This window comes from Homo sapiens, chromosome 2 (assembly GCF_000001405.40).
Source record: "Homo sapiens chromosome 2, GRCh38.p14 Primary Assembly".
Lineage (NCBI taxonomy): Eukaryota > Metazoa > Chordata > Mammalia > Primates > Hominidae > Homo > Homo sapiens.
In genome coordinates, this window is record NC_000002.12 from 45807913 (window position 1) to 45833710 (window position 25798).

The 25798-nt window shown below is 44.7% G+C and overlaps 1 protein-coding gene across 19 annotated transcripts in view, besides 3 other annotated features; it reads left to right on the top strand.

Moving 5' to 3' along the window:
- Positions 1-25798, top strand: part of PRKCE (protein kinase C epsilon) — a 536712-nt gene that overhangs the window by 156634 nt on the left and 354280 nt on the right. The window lies entirely within an intron of this gene.
- Positions 14058-14352: a silencer, noted in NCBI's record as "tiled region #10855; HepG2 Repressive DNase matched - State 8:EnhW". NCBI's record gives its function as "represses a minimal TATA promoter and a strong SV40 promoter by Sharpr-MPRA in HepG2 cells {active_cell/tissue: HepG2}" and the evidence as "EXISTENCE:reporter gene assay evidence [ECO:0000049][PMID:27701403]".
- Positions 15452-15974: an enhancer, noted in NCBI's record as "H3K27ac-H3K4me1 hESC enhancer chr2:46050503-46051025 (GRCh37/hg19 assembly coordinates)". NCBI's record gives its function as "activates a minimal SCP1, AML or CMV promoter by ChIP-STARR-seq in naive H9 embryonic stem cells {active_cell/tissue: H9 hESC(naive)}" and the evidence as "EXISTENCE:reporter gene assay evidence [ECO:0000049][PMID:30033119]".
- Positions 15975-16496: an enhancer, noted in NCBI's record as "H3K27ac-H3K4me1 hESC enhancer chr2:46051026-46051547 (GRCh37/hg19 assembly coordinates)". NCBI's record gives its function as "activates a minimal SCP1, AML or CMV promoter by ChIP-STARR-seq in naive H9 embryonic stem cells {active_cell/tissue: H9 hESC(naive)}" and the evidence as "EXISTENCE:reporter gene assay evidence [ECO:0000049][PMID:30033119]".

Consider the following 25798-nt stretch of genomic DNA (forward strand, 5'->3'; position numbering starts at 1 on the left):
CAGCCAGACTGGTCTCCCTTTTGAAAATTCGAAGGGTATTTCTACTCTCCCTCCCTTGCTGTGCCACCCCCTGCATCTGGACTATCACTGGAAGCCCACTCATCCTCCAAGGCTGCCCACAGATTTCAGCGCTCCCAGACTGTTGCTGATCATGGTAGCGCATAGTGGTCACTCCCTCTCTGACCATCTGTAACCCTCACCACCTGAGCCTCACACTGCCACTTTTATTGGCAGTTAACTGGTCTTTTCCCCCAAGCCAGAGTTATAAGTGTCTGGTTGGCAAGCACCAACCAGTTCTTTGCTTCCCCTTTAACATTCAACGTGTGTTTTACCATTATGAGCACTGGAGTAGGGCACATGGTAGACACTCAGTATATACCTAGGTGATGAATTGACAATTGTAGGTTTGGAGGTTGGAGAAAAAGAACTGTGGAAAATTGCCCAGGGAATATTGTTCCTGTCATTTTTGATGGTACATCATGATCAACACTAACAACCATAAAAAAGTGTTATTCCCTAGATGCCCAACTTTTCACATCATTGGAGGAAACTCAACAGGTGTTGCTGGAGTGCTGATTAAACAATTATCACTCCTCCCTGGCTTCCTGTTTGTGTACCGTCTGGAGAATGCCAAAGTCACTGATGGTGCCAGCCCTTCCCATTGTCACTTGAGCTATCTGCCAGGGAGCTGCCAGGATCGGAGCCCCCTACCGTCTGGCACTGGGTTGGGTGGTGGGAGGGCTGTCTCTGCACGTGACCCTGCTGAGCTGAAGATGCTCTCAAGGCTGCTGAGATTGTTTTGTTCTAGAAGTATATAATCTTAGGACTGGAAATTGGTTAGTCCAGTCTCAGATGGGGAATCTGAGGCCCAGTGAGGGAGAGTGCCTTGCTCAGTGAGACTACCAGTTAGCGGGAGGGGATGCTGGTTCCTCTTATTCCTAGCTTAGTGCTTGTTCTCCAACAATACCTGGGATGGGCATGAACAGAGCTATAGTTTGGGGGGTCTCCTCATATATCCTACTCCCTCCTGTTGCCCTCTTCCTAAATTACTACTGTACCCGGCTCTAATCTGCCCAGAATCCTGAACCTGAGAGTCCTCGTCTACCCTGGTGGTGTGTCCCTTCTGTGATTTCTATGGGTATGGGCCGGTGAGGAAGCTCACTGAAGGGAAGGGCCTTGGGCTTGGTGCATTCTAGCCTGATGGGACTGGTCATCTAGACTAGGGCCCCCTTCTAGTCCTGGAACTCTATAGGCATTCATACAGGTCCCTATAATTTGCTGCCCTAAATCCTCCCAGGAACAAGAGGGGTATAAATAAATAAGTTTGCATTAGAACCTGGACAACTGAGAAACTTGTGCTGATTTGTTATCCTGTAGCAGGAATGGTAATTAAGCGTCATTCATAACTCTTTTTGATACTAATGGCCACCTAGAATGTGACCTTGAGAAGCATTTTGAGTAAGGGCTCTGGGGCAAAAAAGCTTGATGACTGATTAATGATGTCTGCCAAGAACAGTAAAAAGGAGAATTTGCAGCTGTGCAAAGATGAAATCACTACATATTCTATTAGTAAAAATTTCTCTTGAAGTCGTTTCATTGTTAGATTTGACTGTAACAGAAAGCCTCCAATAATAGCGACTTAAAGAAGATAAATGTGTTTTTTTTTCTCACACATGAAAGTCTGGGTACGGTCGGGCACGGTGGCTCATGCCTGTAATCCCAGCCCTTCGGAAGGCTGAGGTGGGCGGATCACCTGAGGTCAGGAGTTTGAGACCAGCCTGGCCAACATGGTGAAACCCTGTCTCAAAAAAAAAAAAATTAGCCAGGCGTGGTGGTGCATGCCTGTAATCCCAGCTACTCGAGAGCCTGAGGCAGGAGGATTGCTTGAACCCAGGAGGCAGAGGTTGCGGTGAGCCAAGATCGCACTATTGCACTCCAGCCTGGGCAACAAGAGTGAGACTCCATCTCAAAAAAAAAAAAAGTCTGGGTACAAGCCCAAGGAGGGCATGGCTCTCCAAAATCACAGATAAAGGTCACCTAGGCTCCTTTATCTAGAGGCAGTTTCAATCCTATTCTTCAAGATGATGGCACCTCTATTCCAGGCAGCAGGATAGAGAGAAGGATGTTTAAAGGATAACTTTTTTTGAGATGAAGTCTCGCTCTTGTCCCCCAGGCTGGAGTGCAATGGTGCGATCTCAGCTCACTGCAACCTCCGCCTCCCAGGTTCAAGCGATTCTCCTGCCTCAGCCTCCTGAGTAGCTGGGATTACAGGTGCCTACCACCATGCCCGGCTAATTTTTGTATTTTTAGTAGAGACGGGGTTTCACCATGTTGGCCAGGCTGGTCTTGAACTCCTGACCTCAGGTGATCCACCCGCCTCGGCCTCCCAAAGTGCTGGGATTACAGGCGTGAACCACCGCGCCCAGCCAAAGGATAACTTTTTAAAAAGATGAACTCTTGACTATGAAACAAATATTATCTTTGCACATGGCAAAGATTTTATTTAACTAATTAATTAATGAGGGAACCAGTAAGATGTTATAGCTGGTTCAAAGAAGGACTAAATATATATACACATAGATGCCACCAAGAATGCTGAGGTGAGCCTATAATTAGCTGCACAATGAACGAATATTCCACTGCAATGTTAACTTCATCTCCATTGGACATCATTTGCAATGTTTTGGGGAGGACAGGGTCTCACCCTGTTGCCCAGGCTGGAGTACAGTGGCAGAATCTCGGCTCATTGCAGCCTCCACTTCCCAGGCTCAAGTGATCCTCCTGCCTCAGCCTCCTAAGTAGCTGGGACTACAGGCATGCACCATCATGCTTAGCTAATATTTTTTATTATTTTGTAGAGACAAAATCTAACTTTGTTGCCTAGGCTTGCAATTTTATAGTAGGGCACATTCGTATTATTAACAGTATTTGTTCACTCACAGAATGATAAAATGGCTCCAAGACAATGAAAGTCTGAGATAACACAGAAGTGTCCTCTAGACTCGATACCCAATCATCATTTTTGTCCATTTCAAAGTCTTTCACAATTTTTCCTGACGAGGTGATAATGGAGAGTGTTAAGGGAGTATATTTGCTTTCTCTTACGGAAAGTTCCTGAAAACTGTCACATATACATTTGTTTGTATCCTATGGCGAGATTTAGTCACATGGTCACACCTAGTTACAAGGGAGGTTGGGGAATGTGTTCTTTATAAAATTCTGTTGTACAGGAGAAGGGGAATACAGATATTGCCAGGAACTAGCAGCCTCAGCCTCAGCCATCATCTCTAGTTCCTGCTGTAGCATTGCTCTTAATAGCAAGCAATGAGAGGCCACCAAGGGTCCATCAGATAATCTGTGGTATGTCCATGCAATGGAACATTATGTAGCCACTCAAAGAAGGAGGCAGCTGCCTAAGTACTGTTAGAATGGTCTCCAAGATACAGCGTTCAGTGAAAATAAGCATGCAGGAGAGTGTGTATAACAGAGTACTGTTTGAGCTGGAAAAAAATTATGAATATGTTTGTGAATCCATAGATTCTTATTAAAGGAATAATAGAAAGGACGAATGGTCTCTGGATGACTAGGGGCCAGACAAAAGAGGGAGGCTGACTCACCCTGCGTTGTAATTTTTCTTATTCTTTTTGAATTTGTACCATGTTCATGTTACCTATTATCAATAGGATAAAATAAAAGTCACCATCTATGTATGGCTCTAAAAAACACTGAAGTTGATCTGAGGCCGGGAAAAGGGTAATGTTTATAAATAGTTTCAAGATGTTCCCCAATTATGGGGAGAAGTGGGAACCTTGGAGAAACTGGAACCCTAGAATAAGAACAGATGATAGGGAGTCATCCCACTGCATATCTTTCTGAGATTCTTGAATTTCAAACCACTTGGATTTAATATTATTTTAAAGCCTTAAAATATTTTTAATATTAAATAAAAATTGTAAAATTATGCTAGCTGTTATAGATGTTTATACCTCCATGCGTACACACAGACACACACACCCCTCCCATGTATTTATTTACTCATTAATCCATTCATTCATTCTTGCTAGGGGATTCCACCGCAGGGGAATACTCTTGGCACTGTCTGTAGTCATCTCTTCTTAAGTGGGAAGAAGAGGGAACCAAGAGTTAAGAAACCTGGGTTTTAGCCTCAGCTCAACCCTGATGAGCAGTATGACTTTGGGTGAGTCACCCCACCTCTCTGAGTAAAGATCTGCATCTGTGAAACAGGCTTCACTACACTTGTTCTACTTACCTAACAGGATCATTTTCAAGATTTATGTTTGGAGGGGAGGTAATTTGTCAGCACTTGTGAAAAATGTAAAGCATCGCTCAAATGTAAGGGATTATTATGGCCCATGGAGTGAGAAGCCACAGATCTTGTACGGGAAATTCTATCCTAGGCAGCAGAAAGGCTGTTTGAAACATGAAGCCTAAGGAGGGAACTGTTGAACTGTTACCCAGCAAAACAAGTACTTACGGAGCATTGGTGTGAGTCAAGCCCTGTGCAGGGGATCCCATAGAAGGCAGCAGAATGTGATGGTGAAGACAAGAAACTCCAGGAGTGCTGGCTTCCCATCTTACATTCTGTGTGCCCTTGGGCCCTTCTGTGTCTCAGTGACCTCCTCTGTGCAGTGGGAGTAATATTAGTATCCACTTCACAAGCTTGTGATGAGGATTAAATTAGCTAACAGACGTAAAACACTTATTACGCCCGTGCCTGGCCCATAGTATTAGTAAATGCTGTGAAATGGTAACAGTGGTATCTACTTTAGTAGGTTAGGACCCTTAAATGTGCTGTTGATTTTAAAGCACCCGGCAGGGACTGGATCCCATAGCAGTAGTGGTGGTGGTAAGAATAGAAGTAGAATTGATAGCATTGTTCTCTGCTCTTGCATCACTTAAAATCTAGTTGAGGAAAGACTCATGTGAAACAACACACATTAGCAAAAATAATAGTCCGCCAGGAAAATGTTTATATATGGAGTGGACATGTTTGAATTTTTTAAAGCTTTGACAGGTTAAGAAGTACCTTAAAGTTTTTAGCTTGGCTGTGAAAAACACAAAAGACACGAATTGGAAGAAAATGGCTATTGAAAATTCTATCTCTGGGGTTTCCTGGCCCCGCTGGCGGCCCAGGAATGAGCTTTGTTTGGGATGGAGAGAATCCGCTTTTGGCATCCAGTTCCAGGAGGCAAAACTGCAGGGAATTCTGCATGATCTCATCCAGTGCGCTAATCACCAGCCAGGAAGCCATTACACCTTCCTGAGGCACTTATCTAACTGGATTCAGAAGTGCAGCTGCCTCCAAGGGCCTGGGATGGGCTATTTGGCTTCATTCTGCGGGGACCTTGTTGGCCATGGGTCATTTTCAAAAGAAGGGCCTTGAAATGACTCCCTGACTGCATTAGCAGGAAAGGGCATGCTGGGGTTAATGGCTAGAGGCAGATCCCTCTTCCTCAGTGACTCAGTGTGAAGCAGATGCAGTGCTAAGGAAGGGGCTTATTCCTGAGCAGAGAGGAGACAGGAGTGCAGACGGGGGCTGTAGTTTGTTATCCCCTTTCCTTCTGGCCACGTGCCCAGCTCCCTGGCAGACACCATGTGGGACATGAGAGTTGAGAGCTGGAAGGAACCTTGGGAGACAACCCTCGTCTTTCACAAAAGAGAAAATTGAGGTCCAGAGAGGTGCAAGGAGGTCACCCAGCGACTTGAATCAAGCCACTTCCAGCATACAGGACTTCAGAGCCCAGGCCCTGGAGGCCAGGCAGTACAGCAAGAAAAAAGAACACAGACAGACCGAGCAGGGTCTAAATTGTGGCCTGTTGTGAATTCTCCTCTGTGAAATGGAAATGACCCAGTGGAGCATTTGTCAGGAATCGTTGAGCTGATGTAAAGTGCCCAACACAGCCCACAGGGCATGTGTTCCAGATTGCATCTGTTCTCTTCTGTTACGGTATAAATACAGCTGAGATTAGCTGAATACTTGTGAAAGCTAAACCTCCAAGACACGTGCAGTAAATTCATAAGTGAGTATCATCAGTGTATAATCAACATGAATCTCATAAATTGACCTTACCAAGGTGGGCAGGACATCAGAGAAGCCCCCACCTCCGGTCCCCCCTCCCCCTCCCGCACAGAGGGGAATGATGCTGAGAAAAAGAGGGATTTGGCTAGGTGAGTTTCAAACTGGAATAGTGAAGAGGGTGACTACTCTCCTGCCACTGTGATGAGTCTTGCCATGACCGGGACCAAAGTGTGACTTTGGTGCCAGGTTGAGAAAAATTTTGAAGCCAGAGCTATAGATTGGAAGTGGCAAACTTGACGGATTTGATCAGTGCAGCCCATCAAGAATGATAAGGAGCCATTTTCCTAGAGAATCTCAGACCTGAGTAATTGGATGCCCCGATACCCTTGCCTCGCAGCCAAGGGTCGTCGGGGGCTCTGCAGAAGTGCTCCCTGCCTGGAAGGCAGTGGTTTGCTGATTGCAGCTGGAGGTCAGAGCCTTACCTCTGTCCTGATCTCTGGTTTCATCCCTGGCAACACTGCTGGGGGCTGAGTTCACTCCTCCTCCAGAGGGATTTTAGAAATCTTTTATGCTGAAAACCAGGAAGGCAAATAAAACTCATGGACAAAATATGTACTTGTACATGGAAAAGGAGGGATGGGATACTCCCTCATCACCACCGATCTGGAAGAAAACGAGGAGCACCAATTCTCCTGGGGTCTGTGCTATTCGGGGGTGTGAGCCAGGCATCTTGATTCTTTTAGACCTCAGGCACATTCAGGTTGGGTGCCAAGAATATTTGGTGCAACAGAGTTGCTGACATGTCCTAGCTCTGGACAGTGTCTTGTAGAGTACTTCATCCTCTCTGGAGGGAGGAGGGAGGGGAGTTTTCATAGCACCTTAGCCACAGGCTGCAGTTGTCCTGATGAGCCCTTATTAGGAGAAGAGACCCAAGAAGGGTCCCGTGCTTTGGAGGCTGTGGCAATGTGACTTCTCCAAAAACCAACAAGGTGTTGGTTTGGGTGTTCTCTAAGTTCCTTTCTGCTCCAAAGCTCCATGTTCCTGGTTGGAGATGGCTTCAGCTCACTCATTTACAGCAGGAGATCAGAGGTCTCTGTTCCCACCCTGTGTGATAGAATTAAGCATCCTCCCCATGGGAGAATTACCCTGTGGCATAATTTAGTCCCCAAGCCAGAACCTCATTACCATTTAAGAAGGCACTAATCTCATAAGAGGATTATGCAGGAAATTTGATACACCAGTTACCCCCCTTCTTTGGTCTCTCTTCAGTGGTTCAGGGTCAAGAAAATAATTTTTTTTTACAATGTTTATCCAGAAATAATTTGACAAAGTGTTAGTTCTAGAACCTAAAGAAAGCAGTATGTTCTTTGAGCTGCAAGTGTAGCAGGCAGTGATGCCAGAGGATTCTGAATCCTTTGTTCTCCTCAGAAGCTGAGGGGGTGCATTCCCAGACTGCCCCAGCCTACGCCATTCTCTCCCCTGATTGTGTCCTACATTCCCCTATTCTTAGTTTGCAATTGGTTGTCTCCTGTCAGGTTCCAATCCCTAGGTGCTTTGTCTTTTTCTTCCTCGGTCCCCTCCATTAGATCTCAGTAAACAAGTGCCCAAGAAGCACTTCCTGACCAGTCACTTTGCAGTGGAAGATAGCCTAAGTACAAATCCCTCAGGCAAATGTAAACAACCAGGTGTTTGTAGCCAGACTCCATGCAGGGAGATGTTTTATGGATAGAATATCCCAGCAACTATACTACTTTCTATATCTTATTTGTAAGGAATAACTAGGGAGGTTGTTGAGGAATGACATGGATCTAGAGTGGAAAATCACTACTTCTAGTAACTCCTCCTTTTAGAACTAGTAGATTCTAGTTCTGCCTCAGCTGCCTTCCAGTTAGGTGACCTTGGGTGTCATCCTCAAGTCCCAGTTTCTCACCTGTTAAGTGGGAGCACTGGTATCCATTCCACAAATCCCATGCCAGCCCTGGGCTGAAGAGTGTGAATGCCAAGAGCTACAAATGAGAAGCCAAGAGTGTTGATGGTACCTTTATGGCGATTAATGCAAGACACATCCCAAGTACATTTGGGGCTCTCATTTAACCATTTTCTCTTGGCCTGTAAAGAGTACTGGAAAGGCACAACTTTACTTATGCTTGTATTTATTTATCTGTTTGCTTTTTATCACAGCTACCAAAATCCCTACAGTCATCAAGGCCTGGCACTGCGTCATACAGAAGTTTCATGTGTGGACTTTCCCAGTGAGAGTGATTTCAGGATCTGCTTGAGGGGCTTTACTTACCTCTTTGCTGGGCTCAGCCCTGCTATGAATATAGAAGGAGAATTCATCCTAGATGACCAGGCTGAATGATATTTGTTCACTACCCCCTGGAGTGTCACGAGGTTTAAAGTTTTTGGAGTGTCCTGGTGCTCCGGAGCTGGGAAAGCCATCAGTGATTGTTTTTCCTGGGGATGAGACAGCATGGGCTTCATCCCTACAGTGCAGGGGTGGATAACTTGGCACCTCACCATCCCTAACACCCAGAGGTGCCTTTTTGTGTCAACTAGGGAGCTGGCAATCTAGCACTGGCCAGACTCCAGACTTCTTGTGAAACTCCTGGATTTTGTTTGTTTTGTTTTCTTTCCTTAGCCTTAGATTCATGCCATATTTTTATGATCATTATGCCAGGGCTTTGTCTTTGGAGCAATCTTCCTTTCCTCTGTGCACTCTCTTGCACAGCCTATTCCTGTACCAGGGTATCCCCAGCGCCACCCTGCATGGCCCTAGCCCCATGGATCAGATGGCCCCTTCCCAGCCTTCTCACTGCCCTGTTACCTCCTCGATATTCCTGTCCATCCTCCCTCCCCCTAATTGTTAGAGGTGAGCTGGCCCTAGGTGTGAACAAGGGGATCGGCTTAATTCCTTTTGGTACAGCTCTTTTAAAGAGACCCCCTGCTCGGGGGTTTTGTGAGGATGAAATGATTAAAAACATGTTTTCTATAATTACCATTGTGAACTTATAATAACAGTAGGTGTTACTAAACATCCACAGAGACACAGAACATTGGGGACAAAGAGATCGTTGTGTAAAGAAATGACTCAAATTATATACTGTAAGTAGAGTGTGTGTGTGTGTGTGTGTGTGTGTGTGTGTGTGTGTGTGTGTTGTGGGTAGGGACATGCCCCAGGGGGAGCGACCTCTTTTGGGCAACGCTTTGCAGCCCTGCCTGCAACCCTAGGCCTTGTCATGATAGCAGCAGCTCATTTCTTATTGAGCTTTGCAGTTGATGTGTAATCAGGCTTCACAGTTTATCAAGTACCAACTTTCAAATATCTTACTTATTTTTACTTTATCTATATTTTTAGAAGTTTAAATCAGGGTAGTCCTGTTTAATTATACAAACTCATCATCAGCTTCAAAGTTAAGTCTTATCATGAATCAAATACTTTCTTTAAAAAAACTTTCCGGCTGGGCGCGGTGGCTCACGCTTGTAATCCCATCACTTTGGGAGGCTGAGGAGGGCGAATCACGAGGTCAGGAGATCGAGACCATCCTGGCTAACACGGTGAAACCCCGTCTCTAATAAAAATACAAAAAAATCAGCCGGGCATGGTGGTGGGCGCCTGTAGTCCCAGCTACTCAGGAGGCTGAGGCAGGAGAATGGCGTGAACCCGGAAAGCGGAGCTTGCAGTGAGCCGAGATCACGCCACTGCACTCCAGCCTGGGCAACAGAGCGAGACTCTGTCTCAAAAAACAAAAAAAAAACTTTCCAATCCTGAGATTCTGCTGACACCGAGGCTTTGCTAGGTTCAGTGGCCTGTCTGCAGTCACCCTATAGATGGGTGACAATGAAGCTGGGAGTGGAATCCTGCCTTTTAAGGCAAATCTGGGTCTCTCTCTCTGCCTGCCCTCTGAAGGTGAGAGGAGCCACGTGGGCATCTCACTGCCTGCTCTCAAAGTGTCTGGGCAAGCTACAGGCCGAGTTTCCTCCAGCTTCAGTAACCATCAGACCAGGCTCAGTCTCCCTGGAGTTTGTCCTTCTCAGCCCCGGAGCTGAGCAGAGTTTAAATCACTTCGATCCTTAGAGTATGACCTGAGACAAGAGGGTAGCACATTTGTGATTCTGTGACTTTTTCTCCTTCATGGGATAGGCAAGGGGAATTTCATAATCATTTTACACAATCAATTGGTCCATAAGGTAAAATGTATCATGTGCCACATAGAAATTTAAGTTCTGTTTTTGTTTTTACTTTTTGGCATTCACAAGACATGTTTTGGTACATCAAAAGGTTCATTCCAAATATTTGGGACTGAAGATGTAAACAAAAAATCAATCTTGTGACTTGTAGATTTCTATCTTTTTTGGCTTCAGAAGATGGATGAACTGGCTGCCCCACACCCCTCTGGATTTGAAACTTGACTTTCCTCTGAGCCATAAGGATAACATTTATGAGATCAATACCCCACCGGAAGTTTTAGCAAAGGAAGAATAAACTACCCTGGGTCTCAATCATCCTAACAGATGTTTGCTTAGGAAGGACGGGACTTGGGTGGGCAAGTCTCTCAGAAACTGTGCTATTAAATGAGAACATCTAAAGGGTTCAACTTACACTTTGAGATTCAACCCTTCTACCCTCCTTTCATCCTCAGTTTTTCCCATCTGCCTTATCTCCTTCCTAGGCCAGCCCTTTGAGCTGGCAGTTTGAATTCAGAAGAACAGAAAACTCAAAGGAGCCTCTGGCTTCGGGGGAGAGTGACCACAGCAGTTTTAACACGAGGAGGTGGAGACCTGTTTTTGATCATTTTAATACCTTGTTTTCTCCTTTGCCCTGCCGCAGCACTCACCATGGCTGTTTCCAAAACATGGATAATGACGAAAACCTATGCAAACACTCTTGCATTTGCCACCGAGTGTATCTAATAGCTTGCAAGAATCCAGGGTGTTTGCTGAGGGAAGAAAGGAAGTACAGCCCAGTATGAAGGCTTTGAATGCTCAGATGGAGATGTGATGTTTGAAGTGTTAGAGGCACTAAAAGGAGGTAGGGAGGAAAAAGGATTTGGGGCGTGGAGCCTCCTGAGACAGGAAGCTTGGTATTGAGAGTGAGGCATTTGCTCTTCTCCCTAAACAAAGCAGAGAGGAGTAGGTATATTAATAACCAGGGAGATGCTGCTGCTGATGCTGATGGTAAATATTTACTCTGTCAGGCATAGTTTCTATGCATTTTATATAAATTAACTCATCAGATCCTCACAACAATTCTGTGAGGGAGGTACTTTGTCCCCACTTTGCAGATCAAGAGTGAGGCACACAAGGAATAATGGGTTTGCCCAAGGTCACACAGCTGCTAAGTGATGCCTGAGCCCAGGCAGTCTGGCTCCCAATCCCATGTGGTACCCATCTTGCTCTTGTCTTGAGAACCCATCTGGCTCAGAATGCTGCCTTTCCTCTGGGGCTGTCAGGGAGAACACCACGTTTATGAGTCAAGGTCCATAGCATGGACCCAAGAGGACACATTGTCCTCAGTTGCAGCTGAGTGGCCGTTCTGTCCCTCCAAGGCTCAAGGCTGTGGTTTCAGGGATGATTCTCTTCCACCTTGCTCCCTGCCAAACTGACTGGTTGTTCCTTCTGGTTTTTCACGTTCCTGGGCCTGGGGACAGTCCAGGTGATTGGATGGAAGCACACACATACTACAGATGGGATGTGGGAGGTGAAAGGACTGAGGCCAGCCTGGATGACACTGTATAGCAAGCTGTGGTGTGAAACTGTTCAACTCAAAGCCTTGAGAGCCATCGACTAGAGCTTTGAAACCCATGGTGGTGCTCTGGGAAGTGTGGAATGTAAAGCAATCATATTCATTTTTCATATAAAGCTTCAGACAAAGCTGTCTGGGTAAATGAAGAACAATAGTAAGACTACAGTGAAGCAACAATACAGGGAAACAATCGCATCAAGCTGGTTTGGGGCTGTGTCATTGCACAGCCCACTGTATTCCTAATGTATGGATCTGGGGTGGCTGTTTCTTTGAAAAGCAACAGTGAGTTTAAGGGGTGTTGGGAGTAATCACTGCTGTGGGGATTGCAGTACTTTTACAGGACTGAGATGAGCTCAGAGCAAAATAAAGGAGGATGTTTTAAGTGGGTTGGACTGAAGGGGCGAATCCTCAATGGGATTTTCCAGACGAAGGTAATGGAAACATCACGGCGCATCAGCTTTTCTTGGTGTTACATCATTCAACCAACAAGAGTTTATTAAGCACCTTTTAAGTGCCCAGAAATGTTCTATGTGCTCCTGGAACACATAGAACACTGCCAGGCACTTGAGAAACATGTGGGGAGAGGGTAATCTCCAGGGACCAGCAAGAAGGATACGGGTGTGGACCTGCCTGGTGGGGAACTCCAGGATCGAGAGGGTAATAGATTCGAGGTGGAAGTAGGCCTGAAAATGTAGGTAGATTTTATTTGGAGGGGGAGAGGGGGAGTTTGGGAGGAATGAACTGTGCTAAGGAAGGGCAGAATGAGAAAGGCCTGGCATAGTAGGAGGGCAATATGGCTGAGGCATAAGGGGGTGGGAGACAGTTGGGAATTTCAGGGCTGGGTTTTGAAGGATGTTAAATGTCAGCAAGAGAAATGACTCGTGACAGCAGGAATCACAGAGTTGAAGATTTTTTAACTTTGCTATTTGGAAGTGAGGTCCTTAGGAGGCCTTTTGTCCTTGAGTCTTGTTTCCCGACACAAATGCAATTGAAGTTTTCAAACTGAAAGCTTCTCTGTCTTCATTTGTTGTTCTCGATCATTCCCAACTTTCTGTTTGGTGCATGGTTGTTGCAGATTTTTGCATTGTCCCTGCAAGAGTTTACAGTTGAGGCCCCAAGAGATTGTCCTGGGTCATGTTGACCTTAGTGGCAGAAGCAAGGCAAGACACCTGGCCTTCTGTCTCCCCACCCCCTTCCCACCCCCCAGCATGGCAACAAACTGCAATCTTATGAGGTTCTAGCTCTAGCTCCCTCACATCCAGAAAACTTGTTTGGGTCTGGCGACAAATCACCTTATACAAGAGATTACACAGCCAGCATATTTGAGCCCCAAGGGTCAGGGGAGCCAAGCCTGGGGTAGGGAGGTGGAGGAGGCTCTTGGTTCAGGACTTCCAAGGCTAGTCTGGGATAATTCACCCCTTCAAGCCTCTTGTACCCTATCTCACAGGCTGTGGGCATACTTCCTTTTTGTAATATTTAGAAGTTGGTGATTGATGGAAAGGAGGGACAGCATTTAAAAATATTATTTATGTCTAGAGTTACTTTACTCAACATTGAATATTTACAAGTGGAGGTAATTATCTCCCCTAAGTTAGAGTTTCTAAGGGAAGAGACAGACCACCATAGCCTGGAGTGGACACAAGCAACAAATGTGAATTGAGCAGCCTCTAAATGTAGGACCCTTTGCTGGGCCCAGGAGGATGGTGGGGGTGGAGGTATAGAGCAGGCCACACCTCTGAAGGGCTACCTGTGGAACCTACCTGGGGACTAGTAGTACAGGTGAGAAGAGAGTTCCTGACAACCCAGTTGACCCTCAATGCCCAAGGGGTGTCTCAGAGGGAGACTGCTGGAGGAAGGATTGAGGAGTCAGGATGTGCCCTAGGAAAGAAGGTATTTGGAGCCCAGCATGAGGCTGATTTGGGGACTGGCATGTGTCGGGGGACTTGGGCAGGATGGTGGCCAGGGGAGCCCGGCCTGAGCATTGGGCACTGGTGGTGGTAAATAAGGTATGATTGGAATGCAGGCCACAGTACAGAAGTGGGTTGCAGTGTTGTGGAAATGAATGTCACCCTGGGGACAGAGGGAAGGCTTGGGCAAGAAGTGTCCCGATGGCAGCTGTATTGTAGATCAGCTAATTGAGATTCTATCTGCTGGGTGGATTCATGCTGAGGAGAGTAAGGGAAGACCTAGGAGCTGTCAGGCTAGAGGCTGAGGATTGGCACCAGGGACGAGAATGGAACCGAAGGGTGGGCACAGCAGCTTACAGTGAAGGGCTTGAGGGGGCTTAGTGACTGAGGAGCTCTGAGGTGCGGGGCGTGGGAGGACCTGTAGCCGGCTTCGGCTGAAGGGCCTGGGAGAGCAGGGTGCAGAATGTTCTGGCACCTGTCCAGGGTACTCTGTTTCTGAGTCATTTGTGTGTACCTTTTCAGAAATGGTTGTGTAATGTCCACACATATCAGTTTTTGTAGATATCAAATTTGTGTGTGTACAAAGGCACACAGAGACAGGGAAGCTAAATGTTCCTGTCACCTCCAAAAGGGAGAATGGTAATTTTGTATTTTGTAGTTTAGGGAAGGCCCCATGGCATTTTAACAGCAGCCGATTTACGGAGGATGAAACTTGAGCCAGCCCGGGAGAAAAGTGCTGTGGGCTCTTGGGAGAAATGAGAAAGCAGCCCACATTGTGTACCCACAAGCAACCCCAGCAGATGAGGTCAGCGCCTGGGGGTGCAAACCCTCTGGGGTGGCCCAGGTCCTGCCTGCAGGGTCGTGGCTGTCTGCAGATGTGTCTGTTGCTGGATGTGGACACAAGGGTAACTGCCAGCCATCCCCAAGTCTGCACAGTCACTCTCTTCCTTGTGCCTGGGCTGGGGTGCCCTGTAATGACTCTGGGCATAGAGAGCTTTGTGCCATGGGATTTGCACTTTCCACCTGGGTAACTAAGAACAGCTTGGCAATTTAAGTGGTGGTTGGGGTGCCTTTGGAGGTGCTGTGGGGCAAGACGTCCGAATCCGTGTCACTCACTGAGTGAGTTCCATCATTGCTAAGACTTTTCTATAGATTTCTCTTTTCTGCCTTAGTTAGGAGTGCTTGCTTTTTAACCTTCTGTCTCTGTAAGGAGAGTTGCTTCTTAACTTTTTATTTCAGTAATGATTCCCTTATGCAAAACTCTCATTAGTAATTACCCTTCTCTCCCACTGTAGGGTATACGATTGGTATGGGATGGCCAAAATATAATCACAGATAAGTGATGGATCTATTTCATTTTTTGATTGGGTTCTGTTAGTCACTGCCTTGTCATTAATTCCTGTTAAACCCCCACTCCCACCCCAATTGACCAGGTGCCATGCTAGGCCCAGGGGAAACAAAGAGGTATGGACTCTGTCCCCAAGGAGCCTGGGCTCCTACTGAAGTTGTTCCTTGCTGTCAAGCCGTGTGCTCCAGGAAACTTGTCAAGGAATGAAATGGACTCCACTAGGGCTTTGAATATTGGGATAGATTCCCAGGCCTGGGATTCTTAAGGCTTGAGAAGTTTGTCCTCGAGGACCACAGCCTTCCTGCTACTTCAAACGACACACCTGGATCTATGAGAGTTATCAGCAGTAACGTTGAGCCTCTGCTCTTTCTGGATGAAAAGGAACTGGAATTGGTTGGAAAATATTTCACCCCTAGTAGCTGAGCTGTTGAATTACTTTCGCAGACAGGCTATTGAAACTTTTGGATCTCATTAAATCAGGAAACCTGCCATTCACTGACAGATTAATGAATTAAAGAATCAGAGAGTGACTTGACTTTCAAGGAAAGTAAGTGGTGGATTTTCTTCTACTTGACTAATTGGGTACCAGGGGATGTGTTACACTCCAGATAGTCACTCCACAGCAAGAAAGTCGGGGGTAGGGAGCAGAAAGGAAGCCAGGAGTGGGCCATGGTGGCAGGCACTCCCAACTTCTTGGTTTAAATGCCACCAGTAGGCATCCTAGGAGAGCAGCTTCCATCTGCCTGGGACAGAGAGCTTCCAGTGTTCCATACCTGTGCCTCTGGCTGATTTCCCAGGTTGTTCCCTGGGCCCAGTTCCACCTCTGAGGGCATGTCCAGCTTTGCTGCTGGCAGCCACAGAGGCATCTGAGAGGCATGTGCTCTGGACAACTGGGTCTGTTCCGTGCTGGCAGAGCTTTCGCAGAGGCCTGCCCAGAGGCTCGCAGCTCCTGGGAGGAGCAAGGATATGGCGTCTGGCTCAGCTGAGATGGACTGGGCATTGCACTCACAGGATGTGCTCACTGGCTCACTGGCTTTCCTTGGCACTGCAGGGAGGTTGGCAGGCTTATGTCACACACCCTGCAGGCTGCTGCAGTTCCATCCTGTGTAGTGCTGACTGCACTCCCAGCTTTCTATGAGGGCACAGCCCAGCATGGCTGTATGCAAGTTTACTATGTTTGTTGGTGGAGAGGTAATCTTGAGGCAATCAAAGAGAATCAGGGATAATTTGCAGGCTTCAGCAGGACTGTTCTGTTGTTAACACAATTAGTTCCATTAATCCTCTCCAATCATCTAAGGTAAACAGACAGCCTTTGAAGTCAGGGCAAACATCTTTATGAAGAAAGGAAAGGATGAAGTGATCAACTCCTTTCTTTCCAAAGCCCTTACCATTGTGAATCCTGAACAAAACATTAAAAGCACCACCACCTGCTATATCCACACAGGAGGACCAGGGAAGCAGCTCGGGGAGTCTCTTAAGCGGGGCGTGTTGTGTCCCCAGCAGGGCATTGGGTTGGACTGGTGGGGAGGACTCCCTTCCCCAATTGAGCTCTTCAAGAAAGCCTAGAATTAGCCTTTGGATAACAGTCCGGTTGGGCTACTTAAGTTGACCATTTCCTCCCTCCCTCCCTCCGTCCCTCCCTCCCTCATTTCCTCCCTTCTTTTTCTCCTCCTTTTCTTTTTATTTTATTATGGAAAATTTCAAACATATTCAAAAATAGAGCAGAATAATGGACCCTCATGCCTCTACCACCCAGTTTCAATAGTTGTGACCCATGAGCAATTTTCCAGTTGGTATTTAATGATCGCCACCCCTCCCTTTATGTGAGTTTTCTGATTTGTTGTGTGTTGCTTATCTGTTTATGAATGAAGGGGGAAATTCTAATGGAGATTTCCTGTCTCTTCTTTCTCTTCTCCCTTAGAAGTTGAATGGGCCAACAATTTTGGTTGATGTGGAGGTTTTCTGGGCCAAGAAAGCTGCAGTCAGGGCAGGAGACGGGGTTGGAGAGGTTGGGTGGTGGGAACCGGGAAAAGGTTCTGCTGAACGTGGGTTCGCCTGGTGGGGTACATGGATTGAGAAATGAGACTGCCTTTTTGTTTAGATTTCAGCAAATTTGCCAACTCCACATTACTTTTTTCCTCCGGGGATGAATGTAGAACTAGTAGCCTTCATAACAACAGCTATGCCAGTGTCATCTTTGCCTGGCCTTGGTTCTAATCCTCTTACTCCCTTTTCTGTGTCTCACCTTAAAACAGGAGCTGCACCTTGTGGGGAACTTGTGGCTCTGCAGCCTAAGTAAGAGAGCACCTTGGGCAATAGGTTTAGGCACTAGCCACGGTTTTCCTGCAACAGGCCTGGGACTTGGGGGGGCCCTGCTGCAGCCCCCACCAGTGTATCTTGACAGAATTTCGGAGCTAAGGTGTTTAGCGGTGAGGGGTGGGACACCAAACTGTGTTAGAGCAACAGCAGCAGGCAGATAGGTTTCTTAGCAACAGGAAATGCCATTATGCCAACTTGAAACATTAGTTCAGTTTTCCTACTTTTTTTTTCCCCACCACACAAACCTCACTTTGCAAAAAGTGCAGACAGTTAGTTCAGTGGTGCATGAAATCAATGTTACACCTGATTTAATAAAAACTACAGTATGCAGCTGGGCCCAGTAGCTTGCTCCTATAATCCCAGCGCTTTGGGAGGCCAAGAGAGGAGGATCGCTTGAAGCCAGGAGTTCGAGACCAGCCTGGGTAACGTAGCGAGACCCTATCTCTACAAAGTATGTTAAAAAAAATTAGCCAGGCATGGTGGCATGCACCTGTAGTCCCAGCTACTTGGGAGGCTGAGGCAGGAAGATCACTTGAGCCCAGGAGTTAGAAGCTGCAGTGAGCTATGATCATACCACTGCTTTCCAGCCTGGGCAACAGAGCAAGATCCTATTTCAAAAACAAAAACATACCCCACAGTGTATATTTGGCAGGGACGGGGGGATGGGGGGATGATAGACTTAGGTTTTTTTGCCATCTCTTTAGAAGATATACAGAAAGTTAACAGAAGCAGGGCTTTTATAAGTCATGTGTCTGTGAAGAGGGTGCATGTTTGGTGGTGATGGTATGGAAGGAGAGAAGTCAAAGTAGACCCCACCCAGGGCAGTAGAAGTCAGGCCTTTGCATTTTCAGACACCGGAGCAGATCCTCCTCACCCTCCTGGTCTCAATGTGTTGGAGGGCTCCAGGGTCAGTCCTCATTCCTCTAGTTTCATGGCTCAAACTACAGATCCATATCTTTTATCCAAAATGCTTAGGGCTAGATTTGTTTAGAAATAAAGCATTTGGGGGAATTTTAGAAGGTTAATATAGTAAATATTCTGTATGTTACATGACATTCCCACTAGATTCTGGGGCAGGTCTTTGTGATCAAACAAATAATATTTCTATATCACAAATGTACAAATATTCACATGAAGTAGAATAAACATAGACAGCAAATAGCCTTATGTCATTTTGGGTTAGGTTTTATTGCTGAATAATTTTGACCCAAACTTCAATAAAACTTTTAGTTTTTAGAGCTGTGGCTGTCAGGATTGTGGGTCACAGATTGTGGGTCAGTGCCATCTATCTGCTGCCAACTACCAAATTCAGGTCTTAAGCTTGGACCTTCCCCCCGAACTTCAGATCTGTAGATGCAGCTGTCCCCGGCTGTCTCACAGATGTCTCCGACATGGCCAGTGCAAACCTGCTCCTGTTCACCCCACCCACCCTGTTCTGATCACCGTCTTCTGTTCAGCCAAGGGCAGCTCCATGTTTAGGTCAGGCCAGAAGTCTCCATGCAATCCCTGCCTCCCCTCCTTATCTCACACACTACGTGCAATCCCGCAGCAAATCCTTTTGGCTCTATCTTCAAATTACATTCAGAATCTGACCAATTCCCATCACCTCCACTACCACCACCCCTTCCCAGCCACCATCATCACTTGTCTGGACTATTGCCATAGGCTCCTAAGTTGCCTTCCTGCGTCCTCATGGGTGCCTGAAGTTTATTCTCCATGCAGCCACCTTTTAAAGTGTGAGTCACAGCATCTCACTGCTCTGCAGTCTCTCCTCTGGCTTCCCATCTCACTCACGGCCAAAGCCAAAGCACGTGCCAGGCCCTGGCTCTCTGACCTCATCTCCAACTGCCCTCCACACTCTGCTCCAGTCACACCCGTCTGCTTCAACTACTGGCAAAGACCAAGTCTTCCCCTACCTCCATGCCTTTGCATCTGCTCCTCTCTCTGCACCAGTCGGGCTGGCTTTTTCGATGATCAGGGCTTTCCTGGATCAAAGATGATACAATTCTTACGTGTGTTTGACCAAAATATCATATGGAAATCTAATATCTAGGATAGAAGATCATAAATGAAGGATCTATTCTGACATTCAGAGCTTGAACAGTTTTCAGATCCTTTCTGCTGTGTGCTTCAGGAAATATCTTCCCTTGTGGTTCAGATCGTGGTGTGGGCTTGAGCATATGTGAGTCTCATTTGTTGTCCAGCTGTATGAGCCGGAATTGTTCATTTTTAAAGGCCTGGACTTCATAAATCATGTAGAAAACAAGCACAGATGTATAAGGAGAGTTGCCCATTTTCAGAGAATAGATAGTCCGTGCTTCCATATATAATTTGTACTTCAAAACTTATGTATTACTTAGTTACAGAATAAAAGCCAGTTGGACAGTTTAGTGCACCATTAGATTACATGTTAAGGCAGGTTCTATCCCAGAAAACAGAAAATCATGTCCTCCTTCTTATTTACATCTTGTTCATTGTTTTGATATAAAATCTAAAAGTCTTAAAAATTTGATTTATACCTTCAAAATTCAACACAGAGTCAACTGATTAATATTGGATTAAAGGGAAATGTCACTGACTTTGACATACCTAATAAATTCTGTTTTACTTTATGTTATATAAATTTGAGACTTATGCTTCGTTTCCTTAGAGCACCAGCATTTTTCTTTTTTTCTTTTTTCCTGTCTTATAAAGAACTCGAGACAAATAGGAGAATATATTCCAGCAGATTCCTGTACATACAAAGATAGTGACTCTGAATAGCTGGATGATAGGCACTGTATGGTCATATCATAGCAGAAATGTTTGCCCATTCCTGATCAATGAAGTCTGCTGTTATGACAGTTTGTTACATGAAAGGTAGTTAAAAGGTAACATTGTCTGGAATATAAAAAATGTGGACTGCCTCACCTCACAAAAGTGGAGGAACACCATCATATAGAGGAGATTCGATCAAAGCAAAGGATTTTTCAATTAGATTAAAAATCTGTTGAAAACTCTATTGATAATCCCAACTACTCGGGAAGCTGAGGCAGGAGAATTGCTTGAAGCCAGGAGGCGGAGGTTGCAGTGAGCCAAGGTAGCACCACTGCTCTCGAGTCTGGGCAACAGAGCGAGACTCCGTCTCAAAAAAATAAAATAAAAATCTATTGAGCTATTGAAGCTTTTCCTTAATATGTTCAAACTGTATCCAACTAAGAAATACACTTGACTACTTACCACTCAGAATTGGTGATTATGATAGAGTAGTGCTATAATTATTTGACCAGGAAATTATACTTTTCAAGATATATGAAAATTTAAAATAATTTGTCTCATTTTTAATTTGTACCTTAAAGAACTGAAAATCAGGATGACTGAGTTTCTTTTCTTTTCTTTTTTTCAGCTGTAGGCAATTTACTCAGGTACTTTAATGGATTGTTTAACCTCATTATGCCTCAGTTTCCTTACCTATAAATGAGAGGAGTGAACTACATAATGTTCTTAAAGCAAAAAATTACTTATTTTTAACAAAAAAGCTATAGTAGAAGGTAGAAGAAAAGTAGAAAGTTGAGAAACTATAGATACTTAAAAAGAAAAAAATTATTCCACTATTCCACAAACACCTTTTTCTTTAGCATATGTACCTACCACATACTTATTTTAGTTTTACAAAATTGGATCATAGAATATATGTTCCTTTATAATCTCATTTTCTCCCATTGAATACAATATTGTGAATATCTTTGCATGTTATTACATATAATTCAACAAGTTTTTTTTTTCATGATGGCATGGTAGCTAATGGTTTGAATATGCTACAATTTATTTAAATAATTTTATTATTATTGAACAATTGGTTTCTAATATTACACTCTTAAAAATTCTGTAATGATTATTCTTATAGTTAAATCTTTTCACATATGTGTGATTTGAGATAAATTCCCAGAAGTGGAATTGCAAGATTAAAGGATTTTTGTCATGTAAGGCCAAAACATTCTTTATAAATTTTGTGTCAATTTACATTTCGTCGGCAGCGTATAATAGTGTTTGTTTCTTCCCCATTCTCATAAGTACTGCATAATAGTACTTCAGATGACATATTTTGGAGCTTCTATTCAAGGTGGTCCTGGAGAAAATGAGTTTTGGGGTTTTTGTTTGGGTTTGGTTTTGCCTGCTTAAGACCCCATATAAATTACAGAAAAGGAGAAAAGGGGGAAGTCTGTATTAACCAAGTGGGCAGAAAGAGGCCATCATCAAACTATTTCAGAGAATTTCTGGGAGATGAAAGTAGAAGGTGGGGTGGCAGCTAATGAAGCAGAATAGAGAACTCTGGAGCTAGAGCCCAGAACATGTGCAGAGGGCACAGGAACCTAGCATAGAGCAGCTTCTCTGCAGGACCCTAAAGGGCTCCAGGCTTGGACACTGTACTTACCCCAGGTAAAAACAAGTGACCTTTGGAAAGTCTGTATGTGGAACCATATGCTCCCCACTGTCACTATGGAAGGGCCTAACTTTCACATAAAAAATTGGAAGGCTCGGCCGGGCGCGGTGGCTCACGCCTGTAATCCCAGCACTTTGGGAGGCCGAGGCGGGCGGATCACGAGGTCAGGAGATCGAGACCATCCTGGCTAACACGGTGAAACCCCGTCTCTACTAAAAATACAAAAAATTAGCCGGGCGTGGTAGCGGGCGCCTGTAGTCCCAGCTACTCGGGAGGCTGAGGCAGGAGAATGGCGTGAACCTGGGAGGCGGAGCTTGCAGTGAGCCGAGATCGCGCCACTGCACTCCAGCCTGGGCGACAGAGCGAGACTCCGTCTCAAAAAAAAAAAAAAAAAAAAAAAAATTGGAAGGCTCTTTGAAAAAGAAATAGTATAATGGTTTGGGGAGAACTAGCAAAGCATTGTGGGTATTACTCTCCAGAAGAAACCAATTTCTCATTCAGGGACCCATGCTCTAATGGCCAGATCCCACCATCTAACCCTATGGCACATGGGGCTGCAATTCTTAGAAATATGCTGCATTCATAAACAAAAACAAACGAGAGAGAGAGAGAGAGAGAGAGAAATGAGAAAACAGGAAGGCACTGCCTGTACATGAGAAAGGCATTATGAATAAATAGGAAGGCATTTCTGGAAACTCAAGATATTGTCAGAAAATTTCAGAGGAAGAATTATAAAGTCAAGGAAATCTCCTAGACTATGGAATAAAAAGATAAAAGAAATGGATATATATATGTATCACATAGTAAGAGACATAAGGATCATTCCTACTGGTCCAACATCTGAATAAGAGGAGTTTCAGAAAGAAAATGAAGAAGAGGCCCATGACAAAGAACAAATAGAAGAGTATCTCCCACAAATTCAGTTTCATTTAGGACAATGAATCCCAAAAGACACCCTGAGACATATCACTGTGGCATTTTAGAATACTAGGATAAAGAAGACCCAAAAACTTCCACAAAGTGAAAACAACGTCACCTATTAAACAACAGTAATCTGGCTGACATCAGAGTCCATTGACAATATTGATGTTAGAAGAAAGTTCTGATAGATTATGATCTTTTTAAAACCTAGAATTCTATATCCAGCTAAACTATCAATTATGTGTGAGAACAGGCATGAAAGATTTCTGATTACTATTTCAATCAGAATGTACTGTCCTAGCAAAAACAAGGGAATAACTCAGAATAAGGAAGATAATGGATTTCCAAGACAGTGGCTGCACCCAGCAGAACAGTGAGGAGATATGCAGTGCTACAGTTGTGCAGCAGACCAGAGAGCGTCAGCTCAGATCAGGGAGAATAGGACAGTGGGGTGTCCTGATAGGTACACCCTCCGAGAAAAGAATGCTGGGAAGACTCAAAGATCTGAGAAAGGCAATTGGTAGACTGTAAGATGAAGAATCCATTTGAATTAGATGCTAGGTATATTAGCCATTGAGTGGCATGTGAATTGTTACATTGGGCCCATGGGAAAGAAGGTGTATGTAACACCATTTACAAAGTCATAATAAGGAAAGACGATTAGTTTTCAGATTTTAGAACTAATGTATACACAAAACATGGAAATTAACTATGGTTAGAGAACAGAATGTCAGTGTTGTCAACCTTGATAGGTTAAGAGTAAAGACAAAAATTTCAGAGGTGGCTGGGATGGAGGGTGGCAGGCAGAGGATGGGGAATGCTGGAAGCACTAATGTCCTCTGGGTACAATGTGGAGGGTCAAGGGATATATTCTCTACAGTTGATGGCATAAGAAATTGGCATTTTAGGTGTGTGAGTTTTTTTGTAGTTGTAGAGAACAGAGAATAAACAGAATTTGTGATGTATAACTTTTGTGGAGGGGCAAAAGAGGAGGGAAGTGGTAAGTAAACTGAATCCTCTTCTATCATAGCAGCAAGGTAAGAGAATGTCTAAAATAAGAAATCAGGAAATTGAGGCATACACATTTTATTTAGGGACGCAGCAGTGACCACCAGAGAAACCTATATAAAAATTACTAAAATTGGTCCCTCTGAGGAGTTATGGGGCAGAGGACTGTTGCTTCTCATGACAAGCAGACATGTAGCTTTTGGTTTCTTAAAACTGAACACATCACAGTACTTACTTTTGGCTATATTTTAATAAATAAATAACACAAAAATATATAACCCAAATGAAACTTTGACTAATTTGATAAGCAAAAGAAAAGAAAAAAGATCTTATCCTTTATTTTATTTTTGTATGTATATTTAAACTAAATGATTTTTAAGGCATTTCTGACTCCTAAATTTCATGCTTTTATAGTTTTTTATAAAACTGTTCTTTTTCTCACAGGACATGGTTCCAACTAAACAATGAAAAGCAATGGCAAATAAGACTGGTATACAGAGTATTATGATGCAGGAATATTCCCCGGAGAGCAATTATTCCCCAAAGTTGGGCATCCTGCGTCACATTTGTATGTCATTGTCTGAGCCTCTCGGCTATTTTGCTGTGGGTTTAGTGTACCTTACAACTATGAGCTCCAGGAGGACAATGAAGGAGCATTACTCTCATTGCTCTTGTGTCCAAGGAGCAACTTTTTTTTTTTTTTTTTGAGACAGAGTCTCACTCTGTTGCCCAGGCTGGAGTGCAGGGAGGCAATTTTGGCTCACTGCAACCTCCGGCTCTTGGGTTCAAGTGATTCTTCTGCCTCAGCCTCCCTAGTAGCTGGGACTACAGGTGCACTCCACCATGCCCAGCTAATTTTTGTATTTTTAGTAGAGATGGGGTTTCGCCATATTGGCCAAGCTGGTCTTGAACTCCTGACCTCGTGATCCGCCCACCTCAGCCTCCCAAAGTGCTGGGATTACAGGCGTGAGCCACCGCACCCGGCCAAGGAGCAACTTTTTATCATTCATGCAGTATGGGCTCCATGACAGCTCACAACGTGTTCTTTCTACAGATCTCCCAGAGCTCAGGCTGTCTGTGGGGCAGCCTGCCAGGCCTCAAGGTACCTATTGGAAGCATTGGGTCTCCACTTGGAGAACCCGGCTTTAACGCACACTCCTCTTCTGCAAATTGTGAGGATGCGCGCAAGTTATTTAAATTCCTAAGCCTCAGTTTTGTCACCCATCAAATGGTTAAGAACAACAATATTGCCTTCTTCACATAGGTAACACATGTAGAGTATTCAATAAAGGGTGCTTATGAGAGTTGTGATTATTAGTATTCATAACATAGTCTCTCTTTTGAAGAACTCAGAAAGATGGAAACAAATGATCGTGTCTTGGCTTTCAAAGGGAGTCAAGAACTGAATATCAGCCCGGTGTGGTGGCTCATGCCTGTAATCCCAGCACTTTGGGAGGCCGAGGTGGAAGGATCTCTTGAGGGCAGGAGTTCAAGACCAGCCTGGGCAACATGGCAAAAAAAAAAAAAAAGAAAAGAAAAGAAAGAAAAAATAACTGAATATTTTTTGTGAGCAGCCATTGATAAAAGTTCTATTAGGTTGTGATACTACAGGGACAGAAAATTTCCTGATATGAAGATAATTTTTCTGGTTACAAATTCCTGAGTTCCTGACCGAGCTTGCCTCTGTTTCACATGGATTCATTCAGTTCCACTTAGAGTCTTTATTGAATACCTATCTCAATCCCAGCCCTGAATCAAGAGCTGTGGAATCCTCAAAAGAAAGACATGGCTTAGCAGGAGAGGTGCTCACAGTCTAGGTGGGAAATAGCAATCATAATGACCTGGCAGCTAATATTTACAGGAAGTTGTGTGCCAGACAGTTTCAAGTGCTCCACCATCTCCTCGAATCCTCCCAACACTCTGAAGCAGGTCCTGCTGACATTCAACTTGTAAGATGAGGAAATCAAAATAAGCACCACAGAGCTTTAAACAGGCAGAACTGGGATTGGAACCCGGGTAGGCTAGCTTCAAAACCTTTACTTTCAATCTCTGAGATATATTGACTTAGTGTAAGAAATAGGAAATG